General features: G+C 34.0%; 1 long non-coding RNA gene across 1 annotated transcript in view; it reads left to right on the forward strand.

Annotated features, from left to right (window-relative positions):
- Positions 1-10,196, forward strand: part of LINC02046 (long intergenic non-protein coding RNA 2046) — a 119,066-nt gene that overhangs the window by 92,449 nt on the left and 16,421 nt on the right. The window lies entirely within an intron of this gene.

Genomic DNA, 10,196 nt, shown 5'->3' on the forward strand with positions numbered 1-10,196 from the left:
ATGACCAAAAGGCATTCTTAAAATAAATAACATTGTGCGAAGGAACTTGTCTCCTCCCTAAGAGTTTTTCATACAAATAGAATTTATAGCGATAATACACTGGCAAGCAGCTGGTAGAAATATAGTAGCATTGATGCACTTAAAATTAAGAATTCCAACATTAGCAAGCCTATTTATTTGTTTGCTTATACATTTATTTATACCTCACTTTGTTTTATGTAAACTTTGAAAAGGCCATATGATATAATGAATAAGAAGTTCACCGACTGCAGTTAACAATTCTAGAAAACATATTGAGTAAAAGATGGCATAGCTTGGTACAAGTATATTTGAGTTATACTCAGAAATATACGCTATAAGTACAACGTGGTTAAATGATTTAATTGTACTTATTAGTGTGCCTGTAAAGTTAATTCAAATGATGCTCAGCAAAGGCAATAAACATATAAAAAAATTCTATAACTTTCTCCATTCAGCTAAGCCATACCCTTTATTTTTGTCTGTGTTATTTTGCTGTACATCTATACAAAATTTTGAGCCTAAATTCATTTGAGTTTAATTTTTCAAAAGTAGTAAATAATATGATTTATTATGTTTTAATTTACATCTGTGCTTTCCCCAAAGGTAAAGGTAAAAGATCCAGTTTGATCTCTGTACTTATACCATCCTCAGCCTCTATTTATCATATAAACACTGGTGCTAATTAAAATAATGGATTCTTTTAGTAACACATTCCAGCTAAACCCAGAATCACAGAATAATAATTTTTACCATATAGGGGAGAGATTTCATCAAACAATGAGTGTGTCTATATAGTTAGGCATTTTTACTGCATTTCTTTATGGTTTGCATATTAGACATATTTTAAATCCCATGAGTCCTGCAGTAAATTTTATACATTGTTAAATATTTTGTCCTTGACTGATTCTCAACTTTATCTAATACATTTTTATATTTGTAATTCATTTTTGTTTTAATGTTGCTTCTTCATTTCTAAAACTATGACTTCTAATCAACCTATTGATATTTTTATTTCTATATTATTTTGCAATTCACTGCAATTCATCACAGAACTTGACATATTTATTAACTATAAATGGGTTGTGGCCAAATTAAGTCATTAAATATGCTGTGTGACTTTCCCTAAAATATGCATGGCTCTTCTAATTAAAACAAATATTTATTTATGAAATTACATAGGTTGTCTAACTCCTTGAACATTAGGAGATATAAAAGATACACACCATTATATTGAATAACTCTGGCATGACAACTGTTTCAATTTAACCTTTGGATTTAAAGCTCTATTTTCATTATAATCCATATGTATGGATGTGTCAGCAAATGTTCACGATCAAAGAGAATATTGTGTATACTATATTCGCATTACACATTTATCTTTCCAATGGGTCATGCATAAACGAGGAATAATAACATCAATAAACAAAACCTATACATAATAATATAAAATATTCATCTTTGCCAATAGTTTCAATCTCTATTCCACCAAATCATCCCAAAATTTGTTAATCAGCAGCAAAATGGACAGACACAAAGGTCACACCCTTGCCTTGTCCATGCTCTAGAGGAAGTGTTAATGAGCATAAAATTAGCCAAAAGTTGGCAGCAGTTAGATGAAAGAGAAGCAGGAGGTCTGTGGATAATTCACAAACTAATCACCTTCTGAGTAGTTGGAAATAGGCCACCATCATTTTAAACTTAGTTACAGTCCAGTATGCATTTTTCCTGTGAGCACCTTTGTTGCACATTGCATAATATCTATTTCCATTTCTGCCATGACCACAAACTAAACTTGAATGATTTTATAATGATTTAAAGAAAAGCCTATAAAAATTCAAAAGCACACTCCTAGAGCACCTTCTGTGTGCTTGGATATATCCAAGGCTCAAGGAATACTGGGATGAACAAGATACATTTTCTTTCTTCATGGCACTTAAATTCCAGTGGAGAAGACCTACAATAAATAAGTAAATGGTGCCTTGCAAATTATTCTATCGCTGAGCAATATTATTGGAAATAGGAGTTATGGAAGGCATATTGAGTCGGCTGAGGAGAAAGTGGGTGATGTCTAAAAAGAGTCAATACACTACTCATTCTAGAAGCTCAAAGTTTAGAAGAATAGGAAGAGGCTTCTTGTTCTAAGCCTGTGTCCAGGCAATATTTTCTCTACAATTTCTTTCAGGTAAGTTGCTTTCCTGATTGCAACTATTCCCACTCATCCATCTTTGCTTTTCTAAAATGCCATTTAAATATGCAACTGCCCTGCTCCAAAATCTATTACAAAAATAATCAGCTATTTAATGTGCATGACTTCCAAGATCTGTTTCCAGCCCACAGCCCTAATCATCTTAATCTATAAAACATACACCTGGCTCATCAGACAAGCATACTCATCTGCCATGTTCATTCACGCACTAGGCTTCTATCGCTTAACCCTGCCCTTAACCCAACATGGTTTAGGAAATCCAGCATGAGTGCTACCTCCAGCTTTCTCTAAAATGGTGACACAACAGAAAAAAGATAAGCTTTGGAGTTAAATTCCCAGGTGAAAAGCCCCTGGGCCTCCCTGAAATCTAGTTTCATCGTCTGCAGAATGAAATGAAATAATCAATACTGTCTCAAGAATATGGTAAAGAGAATACTGAACCCATACTAACCTTGCTTTATTTTAATTTCTCTTTCATTTATTGACATAATGCTATTTTTATCTTTGTTTTATCTAATAATATTGATGACATTTGTTAATTCTGTCACTCAAGCAAAATTGCAGTCCTATGAGGACATACACCGTATTTCTCTCTTCTGTGTTCCTTGCTACAGTGCTGGACATACTGAAAATGCTCAAAAATATGTACTTACCAATTGATGAATGAGATACATGATTGCCAATAAGTTAAAAGAAATAATTGAATAATTAATGTTTTTGATGTAGTACAAGGGTGCTTCATCATAAGCGTAACTGGTTAGCAATGAAATCCAGCTTTGTCAAATAATAAAAAAAGAGAAATAAAATAATGCGAATAAGGTGGAAATATTTTACCAAAAATTTTAATATTTCCTAAAATTTAATTTTGGGACATTCAGAAAGAAGGAAAGTATTTACATAAGAAAGATAGAAGGCTGGGTGCAGTGTCTCATGCCTGTAATCCCAGCACTTTGGGAGGCCCAGGCGGGCGGATCACAAGGTCAAGAGTTCGAGACCAGCCTGACCAATATGATGAAACCCCATCTCTACTAAAAATACAAAATAAATAAATAAATAAATAAATAAATAAATAAATAAATAAGCCAGGCGTGGTGGCATATGCCTGTAATCCCAGCTACTCGGGAGGCTGAGGCAGGAGAAACGCTTGAACCTGGGAGGCGGAGACTGCAGTGAGCTGAGATCACGCCACTGCACTCCAGCCTGGGCGACAGAGCGAGACTCCGCCTCAGAAAAAAAAAAAAAAAAAAAAAGAGAGAAAGAAAGAAAGAAAGAGAAAGAAGGAAGGAAGGAAGGAAGGAAGGAAGGAAGGAAAAGGAAGGAAGGAAGGAAGGAAAGAAAGAAGGAAAGAAAGAAAGGAGAAATACGTTCAAAACAATAAAGATTAGCCATTTCGACATGAAGCTATACTGAATCTATTCTCAAATTCTCACATTTAACCTCAGAAATGTAGATGATATATGCTTGAAAATAATGTTTTTTTTCTACAAAGCAAGGTCATCATCTCTACAACTCAAAAAAAAGGTAACAAAACTTTGTGTTTACACATTTAGAAAAAACTAAAGGGAAAAAGTGCATTTTTAAAAATGCAGAATTTTCTAACTTTTAAAAAGTAAGTAATATGTGTTTCATATTAAATAAAATATTAAACATCCATATTTCAAGTAAAAGTTAGCATGATATGCCCTCCTATCCCCATTCTGCTGGGATAATACAAATGTGTTTCCCATTTCATATTTCATAATTAAGCACAAAACACCATCTAATGAAGTTTTTAGGATATCTTATTCAAATAGTGATTCAGAGAATCCTGTAGATGAATAAAAACACATGATCAGAAATGCCTGCACAGCCACAAAATCTCAACTATGTAATTAGGGGATCTGTTTTGTGTCTAGCTCAAATTACATATTATTTGATAAATATGTGTTTATCTGGTTATGAGACAAAATTCTCCCTCCTTTATGTTTGAATCCACATCTCTGATAATCAAAAAAGTATATACTTGATATACTTGAATTCATGAGAAACATACTCACTGAGTTCTAATAACATTTTCCACCAAACTCTTAACGCATTCATAATGGTTTATTTAAAATAAGTATTTATTAAAAATGTAATAAAACATGACAGTTATCATTGTCTGACTTGCAAGTAACAGGACCTAAATTCGAATTCTGGCTTTTTCATTTGCCAGCTTTACAGTATTACTTTAAAGAAGTTACTTAACCTCTCCAAGGCTTACTTTTATCATTTATAAAATGAGGTTAATGATACAACCACAGAGATCTTGAAAGAATTAAGTGTTCAATATATATTAATAACTGTTAAAACTAACTGCTTCCTGGCCTCAAAACTGAAAACCTTAAGGATGTATTATATAGAGAGTTTGCCTGTGTATCTGCCTCAGTACTTGGCTAAGTGACTGACATATAATATAGATATAATATTTTATGAGTAAATTAAATGAAAATAATTTGGGAGTTGAATGCAAAATATTTCTATATGCCTATACACTTGCAGGGTACCATCCAGAAAAGTTTTTCAGGATGTCATATTATTCTAAGCCATTGGTCAGGATGGAGGGAGAGAAGGACTTAATGAGATAAGGGGTTCCTCTGTGACTTTACTTTTGACATTTGAACAAGATAGTGCTGAAATTTAAATCTACTCGTATAGATTTCAAGTTCACTTACATATATACTTAAAAACTCTCCTATGTTGTTCAAATAATTAAATTTATTGCTTTTCAGAATTTATGCAGAATTGTGAGGCAAAACTTAAAAAATTATATGAGAATAAAGGCCAGAAGGTGAGTATAGGAAGGAAGCAAAACTATCTCAATAATTTAGGTTATAAAAAATTCTTATGTGAATGAGTTACAGAATTCTCAAGCTTTATTTGAGATAAGACACAAAACATGAAGCTGAGAATTGTAATTATTTCCTACAACAAAAAGTAGAAATAATTTAACACATAATGTTCTAATAATTTGACATTTATTCATTGAATATATATTTTTCTAAGGTATTTTTAGGTCCATCTTGTCCATACAGTAGCCACTAGACACATGAGACTATTTAAATTTAAATTTATATTAATTAATATTTAAAAATCACGCTAGGCACGGTGGCTCACACCTGTAATCCCACCACTTTGTGAGGCCAAGGCGGTCAGATCACTTGAGGCTAGGAGTTCAAGACCGGTCTGGCCAACATGGGGAAATCCTGTCTCTATTAAAAATACAAAAATTAGCCAGACGTGGTGGTGCATGCCTGTAGTTCCAGATACCCAGGAAGCTGAGAGATGAGAATCGCTTGAACTTGAGCATGGGAGGCAGAGGTTGCCATGGATCTGCAGCCTGGGAGTCGAGATCACACCACCGCACTCCCGCCTGGGTGACAGAGCAAGACTGTGTCTCAAAAAAAATAAAATTAAAATTTGTCCCTCAGTCACACTAGCCACATTTCAATTGCTCTATAGCCACATGTGACCAGTGATTACCGTATTGGATAGTTCAGAAAACATTTTTATCATCACAGAAAGTTTCATAGGACAATAACTCTTCTAGATAGTTTGGGGTCACAAAAAAGGCTGAGGGCAGTACATTATAGCCAAAGAGCTGAAGATATGCTAGAGGCGATGAAACATGAGCAAAAACCATTTTAATACAAAACAAGTTTTAATTTTACAAATCAAGTGCCACAAGAACACTAGTGACCACAGAAGACTGTTCGTTAAGATTTGAGTTTAATTTTGAAGAATGAACAAGATATTTACATTTGTTGCATGGCTTTAAGTTTCTCTTTATGTAAAAGATAAAATTTCTAGGGCAGCAATTATAGGAAAGTGAAGATTTTTAATGCTATTCGACTAATGTTTCTTCTTACTTTATAAGTGTTGTGTCTTTACTAGAAAAATCTAAGGGGATTTTACTTTCATCTTAAGATTTTTAGATCTTTCATCGTTCCTTAACAATTATTTGAAGACTCCAGAAATAATGCACTTCTAAATTATTTTAAATTCAAAATTGCTTCATTGAGATTTGGTACTTAACCTAGTTCATGTTAAGAAGCAATGAATATGATGTGTTAAATGCAAAAACAATGTGGTATCAGTGCTATGAATTTAGTTTATAAATTCCTTCCTGAGATAAAAGCATTCATATTAAAAATACAAAAAAGTATTTTTTGTTTTGTCCGATTCATCACCTCTCTACATCATTTTCTCTATCTTCCTAGGAACACAAACACAGACACTACATAAGGCTTAGAGCGTAAAATGGTAGGAAGCTATGACACTTGCCTGTTGTACTCAAGAGCATTACTGACAGGCTCTCACTTAATACGATGGAAAGAACCTCCCTTAGGTGTCCCAAGGAGGTGTAATAACTTACTAACACAAGGTGGTGCTCTGTTCTTATGAAACAGCCTGTCTTTGCTTTGGTTCTAGGAAGCAGAGGTCAAACATTCTTACAGCTTGACCATTTTTCTTGAAGGTTTTAAAAACTGTTAATGTCTCATTCTCACTTAAAAACCTCATCCAAACCATTTAAAAATCATTCTTAGAAAGCTGTCCTAATCATAATTCCAACCACTCAGGGAGGATCCAATTTATCTCATTGTTCTCAACAGTAATTTTGATGGCAGTAGGCCTTGGATCGCTCACTGATTGCTTCTTTTCATTTTTCTCTGTTTGTGATCCTTTTGATCAGATAGTTCTTACACTTTTTTTGGGGTTGTCTCAAGCCTATTGTTTCTGTAAACTGATCAGACTTTTTCCAGACAAAACTGCCAGATTGACCTCCAAATAAATGATTAGAACAACTTTGACTCTCCTTCAGCTAACCAGTCTATTATTATTTATTTATTTCATTTTGCTTCCTACGTATGAACATATATAATATATCGTTGTATAGTTATATTAATATGTTTACCTGTTGGTAAATCTCTAATTTCATCCTTCCTGTAGAAAAACCTTGACAATGTAATTTGAAAATGTGACATGCAGTTAACCACATTTAAATAATCCTCCTTATGACTGAACAGGAAACAGGCCAATGCCATATTCCATTTAATGATATTTTTAAGGGAAGAATAACTATAGCTTCAAATATGGATATATATGTACACATATATGTGCATCTACATATAACACAAAAATATACAAATTATAAATATCTATAAATATTCCTGGAAAGAGCTAAAGGCAGGATTCTAGCATTACATAATTTCACATATGCCAAATCCTCTAATCAAATGGAATCTGATTATTTATGCTGCCAGGTAGTTATATATTTCTTTCTAATACTTCTCAAGGAAACTTTCCATAGCTGTCTTAAATTTCTCAAGGACATTGATCTCAAAATAATCTCAACCTCTATTCTTCTATTCTGAATCTTATGAAAGCATTTATCTTGTTTATAAATAGCTAAAAACTTCTTAAGAAATCAGACTGGAAGAGGTTGCATATATTTCAAACATTTTAAAATCACAAAACAAAACCAGTAAGTCAAGAAAATAGACAAGAAAAGATTCCATTTGTTTTAAAGTGTGTTCTAAAATCATATCACTAATGAAAGTCTGCTGATGTCATGACAATGTCATAGCTTCAGCTCTTCAAAGAACATGTTGTCTGGTTACTATAGCATTGCTATATTTGGATTAATTAGAAACGGAAACGTGGATAGCATTAGCTTTGAAATTAAATGAGCCCCCTAACGGGGAAGCTAATTACTGAATTCATTCTGAAGATCTGTTTTACTCGTGAAAATTTAGGTTATTAAATTGAACAATATGTGCTCAGGACTAGAAATGGAAATCAGGGCATCCTCGGACGGAGCACAGGGGAACCAGTGGCTCTTATGGAGCCAGACCTGATATTAGTCTTTTGTTAGAGAGGATTATTATTGTTAATATTGTCACCTTTATGACAAAGGTTCTAATATGAAGAGTACTTGGAATTCTTAAAAAGCTTCCATTAGTCCATTCAATACCCTACTCTGACTTCCATTAATGTATCTTCCCTACTGTGTGATTAGGAAGCTCCACCGGAAGCCATAATCTGGATGCATTGGGGAAGATTTAGGGAGGAAACTTTTCCATAAGCTTGAAAGACAAAAATGGCATTTATCTGGGTTTCAAATGTTTCTTCTCCTTGAGGTTTCGTTTTCTGAATTAAAGTTTGAAGTGAACATACTATATATTCACAGTATTGTGCTTTTCAAATGTCCCCCTCACACAAACATACATACAAACACAGCAAAGATAGCAGGAGGCAGGTTATGGTCAGAGAAAATTCAGCTCCCTTTGTTATGCTATTTAAGTAATCGTTAAGTACATTACTAATATCCATGGCCATTTTTAAAACCAAGTAGCAATAACTAGTTTATCTCACTAAAGCACCAAGATCCTTAGGAACCAGAAAGAAGCTTTTCAGCATCACATCCAATATGCCCCTAATACTTAGTAAAGGCTGATATGATGATGCAGATCTTTTGATCACTTTTGGGATTAAGATCCAAGTTATGTTACTAAATCCCAATTCAATAAGGCAGTGCGGAAGATGCTGACCTAGCAGGGTCTTTATAACTGAAAGCCAGTGTTTGGTTTTATTGACAGAACTTTGTGCTAAAGACATGGAGTTTCCCAGCTACTTCAGGGTTATCCCAGTTACCTGTTCTCTCTCCACCTCCCACAGACTATATTGTGATAATCTCTAGAATTATCCCCAAAAGGAAGAAATAAAACATCTGCTTGGTGTATTCCTTATCAATCTTTATTCTATACTTCTCTTTCTGGATTCTCCATGATTCAGAGCACCTCCAGCCATATTCCAGCTGTGTGGTGCAAAGGACCCAGGCATTGTTTTAAAAATTCTTGAATCATAATGAACTAATAAGGTCCTCAATATAGCATATTTCTCTCATTGTTTAGGTGAGTTAAATTATTTGTAAGTTACAAAAGCCATGCATCTTTCTTGTTTTACTCCAAACATCATATTGGCACTTCATAATAGAAAAATTGAAAGTTGGCTATGTGGTAATATACTTTTTATCATAGACTTGTGTAATACTGTATTAATATATAACAAGTCCATGTAACATCTTTATTTTGTCTAAGAAATAAGTCTAGAGAAATGAGTGATTTATTTTTATAGAAACTGCATCCAAGAACTGCAGAGTTTTCAGCCCCAGAAACAAGAAAACAAGAACCTTATCAAGATATGGGTGCTGTAATGGGCTAGATTTTTCTTTAAAAAGAAAGAAAAAAGGAATAGGGAAGGTGTACGCAGTCTTGCAAATGAGGCAAGAACTGTTCTACAGAGTCAGGAGAGAGTCGAAATAAGGATGCCTGATGCTGAGTTGCAGAATCATTAGACTGTTACTCCTTATCTTCTTTCTGCCTGTGAATAATTTCAATGACCAGTACGTAGTAATGACATTGCGTATGTATACATGATAATATATTATGCAGTAATTTAAAATATGTTGGAAGTGTTGTGCCATTGGAAAAATTGCTGAAGGGGTAATGTTATAAAAAAGGCTTAGTGCAAGAAAATAAGATAGGTGATATAATATCAACTATATGAAACGTTTAGATAAGTAACAAAACTAGAAGAAAATATGTCAAAATGTTAAGAGAGGTTAGGATTTTAGGTAGTAACTTAAGGCCCTATATGTCTGGCCACCTGTAATTCTCTGAGATCATCTTTTACTATTGCTTCACTCCCCATCCCCCACAACAGTATCCTGCTCCAGCCACAGTACTGTTCTTCTTCTTATTGTTATTAAGTTCTGCGGTACATGTGCAAAACGTGCAGTTTTGTTCCATAGGTATACACGTGCCATGGTGGTTTGCTGCACCCATCAACCTGTCATCTACACTAGGTATTTCTCCTAATGTTATCCCTCCCCCAGCTCCCCACCATCTGACAGGCCCCGGTGTGTGATGTTCCCCTCCCTATGTCCATG

Source organism: Homo sapiens, chromosome 3, assembly GCF_000001405.40.
Source record: "Homo sapiens chromosome 3, GRCh38.p14 Primary Assembly".
NCBI classification, from domain to species: Eukaryota; Metazoa; Chordata; class Mammalia; order Primates; family Hominidae; genus Homo; species Homo sapiens.